At 39.3% G+C, this 20,317-nt stretch overlaps 1 long non-coding RNA gene across 6 annotated transcripts in view; it reads right to left on the bottom strand.

Annotated features, from left to right (window-relative positions):
* The window catches only part of SOX2-OT (SOX2 overlapping transcript), a 685,549-nt gene that overhangs the window by 88,236 nt on the left and 576,996 nt on the right, over positions 1 to 20,317 (bottom strand). The gene's annotated exons all lie outside the window — the stretch shown is intronic.

Genomic DNA, 20,317 nt, shown 5'->3' with positions numbered 1-20,317 from the left:
GTGCAGTGGCATGATCATGGCTCACTGCAGCCTCCAGAGCTCCAGAGTTCAAGCAATCCTCCATCTCATTCTCCAGAGTAGCTGCAACTACAGGTATGGGCCACCACGCCCTGCTAACTTTTTATATTTTTGTAGAGAGAGGTTTCACCATGTTGCCCAGGCTGGTCTCGACCTCCTGGACTCAAGGGATTTGCTCTCCTCAGCCTCCCAAAGTGCTGGGATTACAGGTGTGAGCCACCACACCCGGCCAACAAGCTTTAAGTACCTACTCTTTGCAAGTACTGTGTGAGTGAGAGGAGGCACCATGGAACACGTTATTCCTAGGGTTTGCTGTGGATTTGTGATGATTACTAGCTTGTTGTGTGTTCTCTGGGATTTGTCCTCAAACTTGAACATGCACAAGAATTACCTGGAGAGCTTGTTAAAACACTCTTTTCTGGCCAGGTGCAGTGGCTCATGCCTGTAATCCCAGCACTTTGGGAGGCTGAGGTGGGTGGATTACCTGAGGTCAGGAGTTCGAGACCAGCCTGGGCAACATGGTGAAACCCCATCTCTACTAAAAATACAAAAATTAGCCGGGCGTGGTGGCAGGTGCCTATAATCTCAGCTGCTCGGGAGGCTGAGGCATGAGAATCGCTTGAACCTGGAAGGCGGAGGTTGCAGTGAGCCAAGATCACGCCATTGCACTCCAGCCTGGGCAACAAGAGGTAAACTCTGTCTCAAAAAACAAAACAAAACAAAACACCCCACCCCCATCCAAGACCCCACTCTTTTCTGGGCACCATCCCCAGAGCTTCATATGCAGCAAGTTGGGAAGATCCCTTGGTTTTGCATTTCCAACCACCTCACAGGTAAAGTCACAGCTGCATGTCTGAGGCCTACACTTTGAGAGCCACTGTTCTAGGGCAATTACCTTAATCCCTTAGGTGCCTTTCAGCTCAAAACCTAAAATCTGTGTTACCCGGAACATTAACACAGGACTTTAGGTTAGCAGGCCAGAAACCTGCGTCGGTGAACAGAGTCCTCTGGCCTTTGTGATCAGAGGGGAAACTGAAAGTATCTATTACTAAATAAAAAGCTCAGCTTCAATGACATAACTGGCTAAAATACATAGAATTGAAAGAAATTACATTTAAATGTTAGCTGTGGTCAACTATGAATAATTTTTCATTTATATTTTTCTATACATTACAAATTCAATATAACAAATAGATAATTATTTAAACAAATGTAATATAACAAATAGATAACGATTTCTTATGTAGAAAGCAAACCCTTTAAGTCAAGGTTTAGGATGCCTGTTATGACTTTCATAACTGCATTTTCCATAACAAACATCCTTCAACTAAATGACACATGAACCAAAGGAATCTTTTTTCAAACTTCTTTGTTCCTAACAAAGGAGGGCTCTCACTTTGATTGTTTCTTAGCAATAAGGTCTTTGGAAGGCAACTCTAGCTAAAATACAAACACATTGTAACGAAGCATTCTATAGGCTGTTTTTCCATCTAAGGACAATCTATGTATACTTCTAGGGTACACTGCAGTCTGTAGGCATTAAATGTGTGTGTGTGTGTACATGTGCGTATGCACATGTATGTGTGTATCTTTGGCCAGATCAGTAGGACAAATACTGTGAAGTGATCAAGTTTGCTTCAGAGTTCTGATTGGTCTCTACTCTCTCAGAACCCTCAAGTTGCACCCCTGGTCATGCAGGTCCCTTTCCTCCCAGTCCCAGCCCCCACCCCCTACCCTGAGGAGATTCCCTTACTCTGAACTGCCCTTCAACAAAGCTTCTATTCCATTCAAACCAGTATCTTCTCTTTTCCTACCAGATAACTAAACTGAAGGTCTTTGGAGACAAGTCGTTTCCACCTATTTTTACTGCATACATCAAAACCATCTGGTTCAGGGCTCAGTTAAGGTTTCAAGAATGAATGTCAAGGCTGGCAGTGGTGGCTCATGCCTGAAATTCCAGCACTTTGGAAGCCTGAGACAGGAGGATTGCTTGAGCCCAGGAGTTTGAGACCAGCCTGGGCAACATAGTGAGACCCTGTCTCTACAAAAAAAAAAAAAAAAAAAAAAAAAAAGCCAGGTGTGGTGGCGTTTGTATCTATAGTCCCAGCTACTCTGGAGGCTGAGGTGGGAGGATCATTTGAGCCTGGGAGGTTAAGGCTGCAATGAGCTGTGATTGCACCACTGTACTCCAGCCTGGGCAACAAGTGAGACCCTGCCTCAAACAAACAAAAACAAACAAACAACAAATGTCACAAGCCTTTGGTTTTGAACACAAATTCCATCTACCCCGCCCCACCCTCCCAAGAAAACCCTTGTCCTCACTATCTCTCCTCAGGAAGTCTTCTTTCCTCTCCTCCATGAGGCCTTTGGAGGCTGCTTTAATTTTTTCTGGAACGTGCCCTTTCCTAAGCCACTGCTACATAGAAATCCCCACCCCATAGGTTAATAGGTACACTTTATTTTTTGTGTGTGTACAGGAGTTTTGACTTCTCAAATAGATACATATTCTGTCAGGAGTTTGTATCTCTGGGTTTTCCACAGTTTTGGAGCAAGAATGTAATTTTGAGATGAATTTCTGAATGCTTCCCTCTGCCAATTGTTTTTTTAAAACAAATTCTTCAAGTATGTTTGTGACTGTTAATGGCTTGATGCATTTTTCTCTCCATTATTATACAAGCATAAATATAATATATTCATATATCACATGTCTTCTCATCCCTACTCACTCCACCCTTCCTCACCAGCTTAAACCCTTCAAAGGCTCTCCTCCTTCTCCTCAGGATAAAAAGAGCCCTTTGTGTTAGCCCTTACTCTCTGCTATTTACTTTCTAGCCTCTTGCCACTTCTTCCAGTTCTGGGTTCCACCATATCTATGCTCATCGATTGGTATGTCTCATCTTCCTTTCTCCTGAGTGATAAATATCCTCACCTTGTGCTAACACTTCCCTCCCTCCCTTCCTTCCTCCTTCCCTCTCCCCTCCCTTCCTTCCTTCCTTCCTCCTTTCCTCCCTCTATCCTTCCCTCCCTTCTTCTCTCTTTCTTCTTTTTCCCTTTATTCCCCTCCCCCTCTTCCTTTCCTTTCCTTTCTTTCTTTCGCTTTTGAGACGAGGTCCTACTCTGTCACCGAGGCTGGAGTGATGTGATCGCAGCTCACTGCAGCCTCGACTTCTTGGGATCAAGCAATCCTCCTGCCTCAGCCTCCTGAGTATCTGGGACTACAGGTGTGTGCCACCATGCCTAGCTCATTTTAAAAATTTTTCGTAGAGTTGGGGGTCTTACTGTGTTGCCCAGGCTGGTCTCGAACTCCTGGGCTCAAGCAATCCTCCTGCCTCGGCCTCTCAAAATGCTGGGATTATAGATATGAGCCACTGCATCTGGCCCACATCACTCTTTATTTAAATTGTCTTATTTCTTGTCTGACTCCTATCTAGATTTTAAGTTTCTTTGGGATAGAGACTCTACTATTCAGTCATCACTTTTTTTGAGGTGGGGGGCATGAAGAACAGGTTTGGTAAATGCATTCTTAATATTTTTTCAATGTTGAATACGTAGATAATTCTTCATCTCCAACAAATGATTCTTCACTGTGGGCATATCAAGTATGCCAGAAAGTCACTAGAGGACATATTTCTGAGGCAAGAGGACTGTTTTCCTCAAATCATATGTGTATGTGCCTGTTTATCCTCAATTCACTATCTTTTTAGTCAAAGTGCAAATGAAAATAAAAAAAAAAACATCAAGGACTCTTTCTTTCCCAGTCCTTGGCTTTCCATGAATAGAAACTTTCCTTAGAGTATGGCATTTCAGAGTCTGTAACACTGGAACCATTGGCTTGTCATTCTCAGGAAAATGCAGTTAAGGGAAAAGAAAGTGACTCCGATTGCTGTTGTTAAAGCTTACGTGTCTACAGTTAGTGCATATCCCCATCTCTTCACCCCACCCTCACCTCCACTGCCATTATCCACAAAGGCAAAACATCTGTGTTATTACGGACACAAGCCCCCTCAGACTGAATGTTACTTAGTTTTGTCCCGTCAAAGAACTCTGTGCCAGCAGGAATCAGGCAACCCAGGTTGCAGTGCTAGCTTTTATTCTAACTATAGGAATAAGAAGGTATTCAGCTGGGCGCCATGGCTCATGCCTGTAATCCCAGCAATTTGGGAGGCTTAGGTGGGCGGATCACCTGAGGTCAGGAGTTTGAGACCAGCCTGACCAACATGCAGAAACCCCATCTCTACTACAAAATACAAAATTAGCCTGGCATGGTGGCGCATGCCTGTAATTCCAGCTACTGAGGCTGAGGCAGGAGAATTGCTTGAACACAGGAGGTGGAAGTTGCGGTGAGCAGAGATCGCGCTGTTGTACTCCAGCCTGGGCAACAAGAGCGAAAAAAGGTATTCAATACTTTCGGTCCCATTTAATATTTCTGCCATAGAAAGTATAGGACTACCTTTTCTTGCTACAGCCTCCAAGTTTTCTTGATACCCATTTTAACCTGATTTCACTAAGATTAAAAAAAAAAAGGAAAGAAAGAAAAGAATAAGAAAGAGCAAAGAAAAGGCAAGAGTGTTTGATATGATTATAGTTGAGTTAGAGGTTGGTGCTTGACAGTTATTTTGCCTCAGGTAGCACACCCCTGCAAGTGACAAGTTCAGATTCCATTGTATTGATCTGACAGGCTCAGCCCACTGGACTAGGCATTTCCCACTCAGCATATTGCCTGGAAACAAAGTGTGTCTGATCTCAAAGGATGGCATTTGAAAAATAGAGACAATAGGTTTAGGGTAACTTGCTTCGTTCATCCTTTTTGTTAAGAAACCCACAATTCATGTTAGTCTGCTCATAAATTGTTATTTTACAGTACTTAAAAACAGGCTGGGTGTGGTGGCTCACACCTGTAATCCCAGCACTTTGTGAGGCCAAGGTGGGCAGATCACTGGAGTCCAGGAGTTTGAGGCCAGCCTGGGCAACATGGTGAAACTCCAGGTAAAAAAGCACCTGGGCATGGTGGTGCATGCCTGTAGTCCCAGCTATTCGGGAGGTGGAGGTAGGAGGTTCACCTGAGCCAGGGAGGTTGAGGCTGCCATATTACTGCCACTGCAATCCAGCCTGGGTGACAGAGTGAGACCCTATCTCCAAACAAATAAATAAACAGAAACACCAAAGTACTTAAAATAGTACCTGAACTTCTAGGTAATTAGAACATAGAAAGAAATAATTTTTATATCTTAATTGATATACTAATTTTTTATCATTAAAAAAGGCCAGCTGCCTTTTCATGTTCTAACCTCTACAGATAGGAATGTGTTCTCCAGGCAAAATCATTAGAAGTCTCAAAACACTGAATCTTAAATACCTATCTTTGCTACAATAATAATAATATTCATTGCTCTACATTTCAACATTACTGGTTTTATCCTAGAATTATCTACTTTATTTTTAAAAGTGCAACGTGTGTACCTCGCTGAAAAAAATTTAGAAAATATAGTTAAGTAAAAAGAAGATAGGGAATCCCCATCACTCCCTCATCCATCTACAGACAACCACATTAACATGTTTATTTCTTCCCATTGCACTTTTACATTGTTTTACATAAATGTCATTACAGTATACATACTATAACTTCCTTTTTCTTCTTTTATAATTTCTTTTTTCTTCATATCAGTGTTTCAATAACATCTTTCTATGTTAGTACATACAAATCTTCCAAGAATTTCTGTTTTGGATTGAGACAGTTGTATGTTTTGGAGGCACTTATCCTCTCTGAGTCTCAGCCCTATCATCTTTAAAATGAGAATTCTGATGATGCCTACCTCAAAGCATTACTGAAAGGATTGAATGAGATAATGTATTTAACTCAGAAATGGACCTTTGCTCATGGAACTTAATAAAAGTTAATACAGTTGTCTCTTGGAATCTGCTGGAGATTGGGTCCAGGAAAGCCTCCATTCTTCAGGATGTTAAGCAGTTCTATAAAATGGGGAAGTATTTGCATATAACTTATGCACATCCTCCCATATATATTAAATCATCTTTAGATTACTTATACTACCTAACACAATGTCATTGTTATACTATATTTTGATATATATATATTGTTTGTTTGTTTGTTTGTTTTTGTTTTTGTTTTTGTTTTTTGAGATGGAGTCTCGCTGTGTTCTCCCCAGTTTTTGTCTCTATTGCATTAGTCATAGTTCTGGTAGCTGTGCCTTAAAATAGTTAACAATGTTCCTCCAAAGAATTCAAACTCTAACACCTTTGTAATTCTCTATATCTCGCTGTGAGATATAGAGAAGTGGAATTATTGGATCAATGCATTGGAGTGCAGTGGCACAATCTCAGCTCACTGCAGCCTCTGCCTCCCAGGTTCAAGTGATTCCCCTGCCTCAGCCTCCCGAGTAGCTGGGATTACAGGTGTCCACCACCATGCCTGGCTAGTTTTTATATTTTTAGTAGAGACGGGGTTTCACCATGTTGGCCAGGCTGGTCTCAAACTCCTGACTTCAAGTGATCCATCCGCCTCAGCCTCCCAAAGTGCTGGGATTATAGGCATGAACCTCGGCGTCCAGCCAAGATTTATATTTTTAACTGCAGTATTGTTATTTTCAGTGTGTTTCCTTAATATTTTTGATCTGCAGTTGGATGAACTCACAGATGTGGAACTGGATGCAAAGGGTTGACTATATACTATTATCTATCTTAATGGCTGTATTGTATTCTAGCATATGGAAGTACCATAATCTATTTAGCCATTTTCTTCTTGGTGGGCATTTAATCCTCCCCCTTTTATATGCAACTATAAACACAAAATACTGTGCTAAACATCCTTTTACACACACAACTGGCAACATGTACAATTTTTTTTGGCATAAACCCCTGTAAGTCAAATTGCTAGGGTACAAGGTATGTGCATTTTAAATATACATACTGAGAAATTTTTTTTGAAGAGATACTGTAGCCACTTAAACTCCCTCCAACAATTTTGTTTAAAATTTTTGCTGTGGCATTATTTGATATACAGAAGTTTGTTATTGTTGTTATTCTGTCATAAAGTTAATGCTGCCAGAAATTTTCTTTAGTGTTTCTGGCCTTCGTGTCATGCTAAGGTTAAATACATATTTTTGTATATTTATTTTTAGTAATTTTTATAGTTTTAAAAATGTCATTAAGTTCCTAATTCATAAAAATATATTTTCATGTATGATTTGGGGTAGACAAAGATTAGTGAGAGTTTATGTTTTTTTAATGGTATTGATGTAGTTGTTATACATGTGTATATGAGGTGTATTTACCTCAGCATATGATACCTTGTGTAGTGATATTCTGAAGTTTGCTTTTTTTTCCCACTCAGTGACATGGTTTGGAAATTTTTTTGGGCCAGTGCAGAGAGCCCTGTCTTATCTTTTTCTACTTATGCATCATATTCATAGTATGGTTCTGGCATAGTTTATTTAGCCAGTCCCCTGTTGGTAGTCATTTGGAGTTTCCAATTTTTTACGATTTCAACTACTGCTACATCACTGTACTGTCTTATTATGAACATGTGCCAGTGTTTCTCTGGGAGATATAGAGAAGTGGAATTATTGGATCAATGCATTGTTGGGTCAATGCATGTCTTTTAGTAGGCACTGCAAAATTGGCTTCTAAATTGGCTTACCAATTTTACATTCATACTGGTAGTATATTAAAGCAACCTTGCTTATTTAAGATCTCTCTTTTACCAATACCAAATTCCCAGAGTCTTTTTCCAGACTCTATTCTATTCTACTGATTTGTCTGTTTTGCTGTTTTGGTAGAATTTGGAAAATTCATGAACCAGGGTCAGGCCTAAAAGCTATGTAATAATTCCCACTCCTTTATATATAAACATATAAGACAATTATTTTTCTATAACCAGTTCCTAAAATGCTTGAGTGAGCTTTTTGTGTAGAGTTGTCTTCCTCTCTTTTCTGCAAAGGTGTTTGAGTTTTAAAAGAATTATAGCCAGGTGCAGTGGCTCACGCCTGTAATCCCAGCACTTTGGGAGGCCAAGGTGGGTGGATCACCTGAGGTCGGGAGTTCGAGACCAGCCTGACCAACATGGAGAAACCCTATCTCTACTAAAAACACAAAATTAGCCGGGCATAGTGGCGCATGTCTGTAATCCCAGCTACTCAGGAGGCTGAGGCAGGAGAATTGCTTGAACCCAGGAGGCAGAGGTTGCAGTGAGCAGAGGTTGTGCCATTACACTCCAGCCTGGGCAACAAGAGCGAAACTCCATCTCAAAAAAAAAAAAAAAAAGAATTACAAAGGTGTTAGTTTTAATTCCTTGGAGGAACATTGTTAACTATTTTAAGGCACAGCTACCAGAACTATGACCAATGCAATAGAGACAAAAACTGGGGAGAACATAACAAAATTTCTCTATATGTGTTTTGAAATGAATTCTATGAGTTCTGTAAGATGGGACAAAAGATGGGTATCAAGGTTTCTTGGCCAGACACAGTGATTCATACCTGTAATCACAGTACTTCGGGAGGCTGAGGCAGGAAGATCGTTTGAGCCCAGGAGTTTGAGACCTGCTTGGGCAACATAGTAAGACCCTGTCTCTACAAAAAATAAAAAAGTAGACAGGCATAGTGGCACATGCCTGTAGTCCCAGCTACTTGGGAGGCTGAAGTGGGAGGATTGTTTGAGCCCAGGAGGTTGCAGCTATAGTGAGCTGTGATTGTACCACTGCACTTTAGCCTGGGTGACAGAATGAGACCCTGTCTCAAAAAAAAAAAAAAAAAGAAAAAATTTCTCAGTTCTTTATGTGATCCTGTGGAGGCTGTCATTTCCCCTTGGTTCTCTGCCGGGGGAAAATCCGAGGTATACCAGTAGAAAAAAAAAGGTCTCTTGTCATTGCTGCTATTGCTTTGCCTATTTTCTTCATCTTAAGGTTTGGAGAGTGCTTTAGGGTATAGAATATTACAATTTAAGAGTGAACATTATCAGAACTGGGGACACAAATTCCTAGAACACAAACTGTTTAATTACTGAAGCTTTACAATATAGTTCCCACCTGGTACCAGTCCTTTCTCATTTTTCTTTTTTTTAAACACTTTTTTGGGCTTTGATCACACATTTATTCTTCCAAATAAACATTACAATTAGTCTATAAAGTTTAAATATGGGATTAGAGTTTTTGTTTTACATCTATATATTTACTTGGAAAAATTAATCTGTTTATCATATGGAGTCTTATCAAATGATTTTTCTTTAATCAGAGAATATTTGGAATAGAATTATTAATGTGGAATTGGCCATAATTAAAATATTCCTATGAAACATGAAATCAATTATTTGTCTCTCAATATTACATTGTATCACATATCATATACTATAAAAGAGCAACAAATGCCACTTGTGGGTGATGGCACTATGAATTATTTTCTTTTCTTTTTTTTTTTGAGATGGAGTTTCACTCTTGTTGCCCAGGCCGGAGTGCAATGGTGCGATCTCAGCTCACTGCAACCTCCACCTCCTGGGTTCAAGCGAGTCTCTTGCTTCAGCCTCCCAAGTAGCTGGGATTACAGCCATGCACCACCATGCCTGGCTAATTTTGTATTTTTAGTAGAGACAGGGTTTTATCATGTTGGCCAGGCTGGTCTCGAACTCTTGACCTCAGGTGATCCACCCACCTTGGCCTCCCAAAGTGCTGGGATTATGGGCATAAGCCACCGTGCCCGACCTGATTTTCTTTTCTTTTTTTTTTTTAAATTTTTTGAGATGTAGTCTCGCTCTGTCACCCAGGCTGGAGTGCAGTGGTGCAATCTCAACTCACTGCAACCTCCGCCTCTCAGGTTCAAGTGATTCTCCTGCCTCAGCCTCCTGAGGAACTGGGACTACAGGTGCCCACCACCATGCCTGGCTAATTTTTTGTATTTTTAGTTGAGACGGGGTTTCACCATATTGGCCAGGCTGGTTTCGAACTCCTGACCTTGTGATCCACCCACCTCGGCCTCCCAAAGTGCTGAGATTACAGGTGTGAGTCACCGTGCTCAGCCAATTTTATTTTCTTTATAATATTTTACATTTTCTAAAATATTTCAATAATAGTTTCAGAATGCCATAAGAACATGAATCTCTTTCATCTCACATTTTATCCTTCTTCCCAAGGCATTTCTGGATGAGGGGAGTCCCAATGTTGCCAAATCTCAAGTTTCTTGAATTCTTGATGTTGCTGTAGTTTCTCATCATCCTGGGTGAAATTACAAAGTCCACATTCCCCCTGGGCACCCAATCTGGAACTGCCACCCCAAATTCAGTAAAACCTTGTTCTCAGGGTATGTAGAAGCTGCATTACATTTCTGTCTAGAGCCGAACACCTGGGTATGCACAGTTGATGGAGCAATTTTCTAGTATTTTTCTGAGTAGGGGCTGACTTACTTCTTTCCCCACTAGGATTGTTTGGGGTCTCTATAGGTAAGGTCAGGCTGAGAAAGGTTGTCCTTGGGATCACCAAGGACTCCTTGAACTCTTGCTCAAACCCTTATGGTGGCATCAGAGACTTTAAACAGGATCAGACTTCACAGTAATGCTAAAAATCACTGGAAAGTGAGGCAAAACTAGAGCAAGCTAGAAACCCAAAAGGATGTCAACAGAAAGATCAATGTTTGCAACTCCCGCAACTCCCGAAGGTTCAGCTGTCTCTCATTTGCTGGTTCATGGGCCCTCCTGGAAAGTCTTTAAGAATTAACGTATTTTTAAAGAGGTGGGGAAGTTAAGATGAAATGTAAATAACTGAAACAAAAACAGAAAAACAGACGGTGAGGAGAATTAGAAACCAAATTTGATTTTTTTTTTTTTTTTTTTTTTTTTTTTTTGCCTCTCACCATGCCTTCAAAACTGGGAGCTTTTACTTAATTAATTTCAAAAATAATTCAAGTATTAGGAATGTGAGGGAGATATCATTTCTCTTCTTGCTTTATTATGGAGTTCAATTGAAATTCTGTTAAAAGTATAAAAATCAATGTGAAGTATATGCATTATGTGACAGTTCCATCTACAGTTATCTTGTGTAGAATATAGGGCAGATACAATGGAGCAGCCAAGCACATGTAATTTACCCAACAAATCTAAAGCATTCCCACATTGATTTTTTTTTTCAGTTGTCTAGCCCCCAGTCACTGAACAGAGAAAAAAATGGCTTACTTTCATAACATGGGATACTTAAGGCTACAAAACATTCATCTTCATGCCCTCTAATTCAAGGCTGTCTTTTTGTTGTTTTTCTTGATGGGCTTTTTTTTAGGTCATTTAAAAAATACTTGTCTTCTCTAACATGTTATGACAAGAAAATAAACTAGTTTTTAAAAATGTTCTGATTTGTTGATTAATTTTGCCCCTAAAATTGTATTATACTAGTGTTGTTTTTAATGTTTTTACTATTTCTAAATGAAATTATCTTGAAATAATTATGAGTAGAAAAATTTATATAACTGAAAAGACAAGCTTTCATAATTAAAATATTAATTTTAATTATGTTATATTAAAATACCTAATTTAGTAACTAGAATAAAAGGGACACCAGAAACTATTTTTGATACTATAAGTTAATTCACTATTGAAATTACATGCATATATATTCCCAGTTTAAAATAATTAAAGCTTATTTCCCCCCCAAATGCTTTCACTTGCAAGATGAGACAGTTGTGAACGTATGAGTTCATGCATACACAAAAATATGCCATGGGATTACCTACTGTACATAACAACAAAGGATCTGTCTGTAATGTCCAGATCCATGTAAACAAGTGATATTCGATTCCCTGAACCACACCACCTTCACCAGCTGCAGATTGACTTGCATTTTAACCAGAGTTGTCAACTGTGAAATATGGTCAGATTAATATTCAAAAATCCACATAATAGTAGAGCGACAATACTTAAACATCACCAAGCCTTAGGGATGTTGTATGTCTCTAGCTATAGCTGCCCCCTCCTGTTTTATTTACTCATAAGTATCATTAATACCAAAGATATATAACCTTTGGTGCCAATATGTCATTCTCTCTCTTCAAGTCTTTAGTAGTTGCATGCTTATCTATTTCAGTCAAATGTATTTCTTATCAAAAAAAGAGTGAGAGACCTGACAATACAGTTATCGAATTTTTTCAGCTGAGACCCCCATGCCATTCAGCATTCAGACATGCTTGCGCTTGATTGATGGATGGGTTTGTGACAAATAAAACTAGGATCAACAGCTTTGCACCTTTTCCCCCATCAGAGACCAGAGGAAAGCATAACTCTACAACAATAGTGGGATTAGGGATGCATTAGCTCTCCATCGACCAAAACCATCCATTCCCATCAATACTTTGCACGTAATAACCTGAAGCTATGATAAGGAAACAAAAGAAGGAGAAAAGGGACAGGAGAAAACAAATCAATAAAAGAAGGGAATGTCTGAAAGATGCAATGTCCAAATGAAGATTTTTTTTTTCTGCATTACTGGGCTAACGTCCCTGAATGTGGAAACAATACCTCACCCAGAGTTTTGTCAGGGGAAGCAAATTAACACATTGTTTAAACACAGGCTTGGCATCTGCAGATTGATATTTAGACGAGTTTGTTTGTTTTTTGTAGGCAAAAAGCTGTGTTATAGTATCTATTGTTAACCTGTGTCTCTAAATTGCTCTTAAATAAAAAGAATGTTTTCACCTGAATGATTCAGATTCTGTGAGGCCAATTCTGTGATAATTAGAACACTCTCCTGTATAGACAGTTTTAATGTACAAATCTTCAGCACAGTCACAAACATTCTCTTAAATATGGGTTAGGATGAAGAATCATAATTGACTAGTTTACTAAGATTCATATACAGTATATTTGTTTCTATTATCAGAAAGAGACTGATACCCCTTTAACAAAAACTAATACCTGTCCTAGAAGAGTCTTACTTTTCTGGGTAGAATTTTTTATTTTTATTTTTTGTAAAAATCTTTCTACATAAAAATGTATCTTCATTCTCAATTCATAGGATATTTTGATGATAATTTCATCATTTTCCCCACAAACAATGGACCGTTAAGCTTATTTATTCAGGTTTTTTGTTCCTTTTCTTTGGAGAGCTTTTGATTTTTGTACTACCTATCGTATTTTTCTTAATATACAATTTATTCTAATTGGCCATTGAATGGGCCAGTATGGTTTTCTCCTGGTGCGGATGAACATTAGTGATATTTGTTCTCCTCTGAAGAAGATGTGTGAGGGAGGACAAACCCAAGTTCTCATTGTGGAGCCGCTGATCTTGGGAAAGGCACTTCATCATTTTGCTTCAGTTTTCAGACTTAGAATAAGAAGAGAATTATACTGCCTAATTCATCATTATCATCATCATCACCATCATTATTAATATTATCATTATTCTTCATTGACACACTGTAGTGCTTCATTTCCTAGTCAAAGTTTACAAAGTGTTGAGAAGAAAAAAAGCCATTTAGTTTCATTTTCTTTTTTAGTTCTATGAGAAGATGGAAGCCCCTTTCCTTTATTTAAGTAAACGCAGAAAGAAATGAGAGAAATTGCCCCATCTCCAAACAAATGTGTGGAAGATTCTTAGGACAGGACGATGGCTTCTAAACTACAGACCAGAGAATCCAAGAGATTCACAGAGTTTCTAGGTTAAAAATAATGTAGGGATGCTTTATTGTTTTATTTGTAAGATAAATTCTAGTTTCATTACCAATGTTCAAATCTTAATTTGAGCAATATAAAGTCAACCCACATGTGGTTTTGGAATCAACTGTATGTGTAAAGGCAGATGTTGGCTTGTGTTGTTGGAAGTCATGGGTCTTTAGTCAGGAAATGTGATAGTGTTTTTATAATCCCAAAGAGAATACTCTATGAATTATGATTTTAGAAGTATTCTTTGGACCTAAAATGGTTAAAATTATTAAAGCCATATACATCTGACATTTCTGGTCATACAGCATTTCATGTATGTCAGCATAGTTGGTACTTGCTCTGAATATCTCTGTCTGAACTGAAAACCTTTAAGGTAAAAACCTAATTAAAAGCACATGATCTACTCATTTGCTCTCCTAGTTTGACCTATTTTATAATTTGTATAATCTAGCGGGTATTTTCTTTCAGCTTCTAAATGGGGCACTCCAGATAAGTGATTTTATGGGGCACCTTTGCTGAAGCTGAATGAGCCCCCCATATCCAATACTGATACCTGTGAGTGGGTTCAGTAACACCAGTCACTACTTGCACATATGTTACTTTAAAATTTCAAGCAGATGCTGGCCCCTGACTCTAGCTATCTTTATAACCATGTGGAGGAAGAGTTCCAGAGGCCTAACATTTTAATATAAAATAAGCTGGATCTAAGTTTTAATATAATGGTAGCATGACCTTTGTTACTATTGCAAAACATACAGTATGTGCCTGATTGAGTCTTTTCTTTACGGCATAGTCAATCTTCAAGTTTTCCATGAAAGCCTTTTAAAGTGCTCTTACATCTATGACCCTATACAGAACTCTCTAATTTGGTTCCATGAAGGTTCCAAGTGAAGATGCATTATAAATGGAGATGTGAGATTTACATATATGCATTTATACGGACCCAAGCAGAACAAAGCAATGTCCTCTACATGGCAGTTGTGTATGTAAATCTTTGGATGATGCTTGAACATATGTCATATGCTGTCTGTTTTCTTTGTGTATATATCTTCCAGAGGGTATAAGTCTTTGGAAACAATGTGTCTTGTGCAGGATTCATTGTTTACAGCCTAATACACTGCCTGTAGGTACTCTAGAAATATTAATTAAAGGGAAAGGAATATACACATGTATTCACAGAGGATAAACATGGATACATTTCTAAAGAAATTCCAAGTTCATAAGCAATTGTTGATGTTTCAGACATATTCATACAAAAAATCAAAGCATACAGGTATAATGTTAAATGGAAAAGCCTGTTTTGCTGTCATTCTAGAACTTAGTAGCAGTCTGAAGACAAAGTGTATCATGTTTACTAGAGTCACCATTATAAAATTTATATCAGTTTGCTTAATTGAAACTGTGTACATAAATCCAGAGTATATTTGAATGTAGAGATAAGATATTAAAGCTAAATGTAAAGCATTTTGACTAAAATTCCAAATATAAAATAGGCATTTTGAAAACTTGCAAAGTTTTTTCTCTTCTTCTATGCCAAGTGCCAAATCTCCTCATGTGTTTTTTTTTTCTTTTTCATACTCACAAAGAATCAGAGATACTCTAAGGCAAGTGTTCACAAACTACTGCCTACAGGCTTGCCATCTATTAAAAAATATATAAGTATAGCTTTATTGTAACACAGCCATGCCCATTTGTTTATGTATTTTTCCATGGATGCTTTTGCACTTCAAGGGCAGAGTTGAATAGCTGAGACAAATAGCATATGTTATTGACAGATACTGTTATGGGTTGAATTGTGTCCTTCCCAAACCCCACCCAAATCCATATGTTGAAGTCCTAGCCCCCATTACCTTTGAATGTGACTTTATTTGGAAATAGGGTCTTTGCAGATGTAATTAGTTAAGTTAGGATGAGGTCATACTGGAGTAGTGTGGGCCCCTAATTCAACATGACTGGTATCCTTCTAAAAAGGGTGAATTTGGACACAGATATGCACCCGGGGATAATGTCAGGTGAAGAGAAAGACAGAGATTGAAGTGATGCAGCTGAGGAATGTCAAAGATTGCCAGCAAACCACCACAAGCTAGAAGAGCAGCATGGAACAGATTCTGGCAGCCCTCAGAAAGAATCAACCCTGCCAATACCTTGATCTCAGATGTCTGGCCTCCAGAACTGTAAGACAACCCATTTTTATTCTTTTAACCACCCAGTTTGTGGTACTTTATTACAGCTGCCTTAGCAAACTAGTATACTGAATGAGCAACAAAATCTATAATATTTACTATCTGGCCATTTACAGAAAAAGTTTGCCAACTCTTACTGTAAGGCATTGCTTTATGATCTTGGTGGAATTAGTAAGTAACAATCTGTCACAAGTAACTTGGTGGGATATGGAGGTCTCTCTGCTGTTCGAGAACAGGAATGATACTTGTTGATTTCGCTTGTAGACATTTTAAAACACACACACACACACACACACACACAGTGTTCAAGTCTTCGCATATCTTGAATTTCTATGAAAAAGTGTCTATAGGAGATAGCAAGGAAATCATCTGACTAAACTTAAGCTTTTCAAGCCTGAATGCTGTTCCACTTAGCTGTTTGCTCAGGCCCATCTTTGGTTTAAGCAAAACACTGCCTGGCAGTTTGAAGCTTTTTAACAATCAAAAGAATTTATGAGAAATTTCTGTGATTTATGTATCAGTGGAACACAACCATCTGCTTTACATTTCTCTTGAAATGTGCATGAGGTTAGAATTAAAGGACTGGTTGTTTGGGAAGGGGACAGTCATCATATGACAAGAAGATGTTTGCTTTTGCTGATTCCATCCCTATTTGGAAAGCAAATGGAGATATTCTGCCTACCTTAAAAAAAACCTCAATCTTTTATTTTGTAATTAATGATCTGAAAGGGAAAAATCAATCTTGGATCCTGAGTGGGGAAAATGACCAAATGCTTAAGAATTCAAAATATTTCATTAATGCAATATCAAATACCTATGCCATTTTCCTTGAAGCAACATCTATTTTCAAATGTTTTCTTGACTCATGACCCATGACCAAAAATAACAAAAGGGTTTCGTAAGTAGATCCTTGGAGAGCTCAACCTTAAGAAAGAGACCATATGGCATTTAGGAACAGGTGTTCTCTAAACTCTTGCTCTTCAAAGGGTGATCTTCAGACCAGTGGCATCAGCATCACCTGAGAGCCTATTAGAAATGCAGAACCTCAGCTGGGCGCGGTGGCTCACGTCTATAATTCTAGCACTTTGGGAGGCTGAGGAGGGCAGATCACGAGGTCAGGAGATCGAGACCATCCTGGCTAACATGGTGAAATCCCGTCTCTACTAAAAATACAAAAAGATTAGCTGGGCGTGGTGGGGGGCGCCTGTAGTCCTAGCTACTCGGGAGGCTGAGGCAGGAGAATGGCGTGAACCCGGGAGGCGGAGCTTGCAGTGAGCCGCGATCACGACACTGCACTCCAGCCTGGGTGACAGAGTGAGACTCTGTCTCAAAAAAAAGAAAAAGAAAAAGAAAAAGAAGACATGCAGAACCTCCAGCTGCACCTTGGACCTAATGGATAAAAATCCACATTTTAACAAGTTCGCTAGGTGACATAAGCACATTCAATTTTGAGAAGCACTGATCTCTGTTTCACAACTGTTGAGACATGAACTGGTGAGACAAATATTAGCTAGTTCTCCTCCATTCCGCTGCATGGTAACAGTGACTGTGGTGGTTTCTTGGCTCTTGTCTCCTTCTTGCCCCTTTCTCTTATTCTTGAGGTCCTTGCTAGAGAATGAAGCCCTTACCATGTCAGTCACTTTTCTACATGCTATATATAGAATAAATTATTTAATCTTTGAAACAAGCTTACAAGGCAGCACTAGTCACCTCCTTGTTTGACAGATAAGGAAACTGAGGCACACAGAAGTAACTTGCCCAAAGTTAGAGAGCTTTTACATTATGAAGCCTGGGTTCAAACAAAGTTACTCTGGCCGCAGAGCCCATACTCTCAACCAGTAACCACTCCGCTGTATTGCCTTTCAGATTATGAAAACACTGTTCTAAGTATTCTTCATGAAAATTAATGTAAAGAAGTCACCACCTTATAGAACTGACAAAGGAGTCCCAAATACATTGAAAGTAAGAGGCATGTGGCGTCATAAACTACTTCTTATACATGCCCGAATCAGTGGGTAGAATCCTAACATGTATTAGAAATAGAGTCAGAGACTGGAACTTACAGCGTTTATATTGCTCACAATTCCAGATAAATTTATTTTGACAGATTGGAAGAACCTAATCTTATATTCATTTCACTCCTGCTGCTGCAGATGTAGTTTTGTTTTAATACTGTTCCTGTAAAATGCTAAGCTCCAAATCCCTTGGTTTGTTTGGATATATTTGGATGTCCTAAGGGCACTTTATGGCATGGTACTCAGAGTTCAGTTCATGGGACTGTTCCATGGGACCAGTTCCCACCATATTCTAAGCCTGCATGGCTACAGAGGACTCAAGACTACATCTGGACCATTTTTTGGCTGTCAGACTGAAGTCAGGAAGCTGTGGCCCTGGTTTGAAAGCTTTCTTCATCCAAATTCTTGCTTTACTCAGTAAAATCTTTCCATCTTCTATATGACCCAAATGAGATGTATGGTCTTACATGTATGTTAATGGAAATCCATCCACATACACATAACCTCCCTCAGCGAAATGAATTTCAGACATTAGCAAACAGATAAGGGTGTATTTGTCTGTGCTTGGGAGAGGTTAACTAAAATATATTGTACCCTACGTTGATTCTGAGTTTCGCTTTTGGTCTTGTGGGAAGTAGGAGAAGGAGAATTGCTTGAAGATAATGGGTCTACTTCCCTTTCCCCTGGGCAAGAAACACTTCTGGTATATTCCTTGAGATCTATTGATCCTTAGCACGATTCAGCATGACTAAGAGGTGTGAAGTGCTGTCATGGAACAAAGAACATTAGGACTCTGAAGACTCAATTTTAAATATGTCACTTTTTAGCTATGTAAGCCCGGGTGTGTTACTTTAATCCTACTGGAAGCTGGGGTTAATGATTCTTACCTAAGGATCCTTGTGATAATTAAAGGAGGCCATTTGTGTGAAAGCCTTGGCATGATGATGCCTGCCAAATTTGAAATATCAATATGTGTTCATTTTATTCCTTTCTTTCAGTTGCCATTTTTTTTTTTTTTTATGAAGTCTCACTCTGTCGCCCAGGCTGGAGTGCAGTGGTACAATCACCGCTCACTGCAAACTTCGCCTCCCGGGTTCAAGCAATTCTCGTGCCTCAGCCTCCTGAGTAGCTGGGATTACAGGCACGTGCCACCACGCCTGGCTAATTTTTGTATTTTTAGTAGAGATGGGGTTTCGCCATGTTGGCCAGGCTGGTCTCGAACTCCTGACCTCAAGTGATCTACACATCTCGGCCTCCTAAAGTGCTGGGATTACAGGTATGAGCCAATACATCTGGCTCAGCTGCTATCTTAAGACTTGGTCTCTTTTAAGCATAATTTTACGCAACTGATGATTCTCCTCTCTACCACGTTAATGTATTTACAGTCCTTCCCCCAAGACTCCTGAAGGAGCTAGGGTTCATTTTCAGCATCTTTGGCTTTGATTTCCCATATCCTAGCTCCTGGAGTATGATGCTAGTCACAGTCACATCTCATGGGCAAGAGTCTTGCCTGCCTTAAGTCCTGAACCCCGGCTGGATAGGAACTAAAGGGTCAGCAGAGGGTCAGACTAAAGAGGACCAGAGGCTCAGGTGCTAATGACTTGGGTCCTGTGTATGTTTGTGTGTTTAGGGAGAAACTATTAATTATTAGTAATAATATACAACAAGTTAATAAAGTACTTACCACATGCTAAGTGCTTTTCCCCATTTAATCCTCACAGAAGCTTTGCAAGGTAAGTATTATCATCTAAGCTGAGGCTCAGGGAGGTTAAGTAACCCAACTTACACAGCTGTATGGCTATGGTGGAGAAAATGCTATTCACCACATGATTTTCTCTTCCTAGACACTAGGGAAGATATTTCCTAGCCTCCCTTGTAATTTGGTTGGGCCTTGTGACTGGATGTGTGCCAAAAGAATTGGGGCACAGAAGTCTTGTAAGCCATTTCTGGAAGTGGCTCCCAAAAGGGTTGCTTCGGGTCTTGCTCTTCCTGTGAAGGTGGTCTTGGAAAACATGTATTCCGTGGCAGAGCCACAGGATAAAGAGGGCCACCCAGCCCTTATCACATGAGCTATTATTAACTTATCACATAAGTTATTATTATTTTTAAGTGATTATTATTATCATCACATAAGCTATTATTAACCTTATCACATAAGTTATTATTAACTCATTGGATATTAGGGGGTGAGCTGAGCGACAGAACTGAACTTTAGAGTGAAGTTGTCTGGACATCAATGTTTCAACACACTGGACACATAGGTTTTTATTTAATTTTAATTTTTTTTTTTTTTTTTTTGAGTTGAGGCCTTACTCTGCCACCCGGGCTGTAATGGAGTGGTGCGCACATGACTCACTGCAACCTTGAACTCCTGGGCTCAAGTGATCCTCCTGCCTCAGCCGCCTGACTAGCTAGGACTACAGACTCATGCCACCGCACCCAGCTAATTTT

Source organism: Homo sapiens, chromosome 3 (genome assembly GCF_000001405.40).
Source record: "Homo sapiens chromosome 3, GRCh38.p14 Primary Assembly".
Classification (NCBI taxonomy): Eukaryota; Metazoa; Chordata; class Mammalia; order Primates; family Hominidae; genus Homo; species Homo sapiens.
The sequence above is the reverse complement of the archived record's forward strand: the minus strand, read 5'-3'. Positions and strand labels throughout refer to the sequence as shown.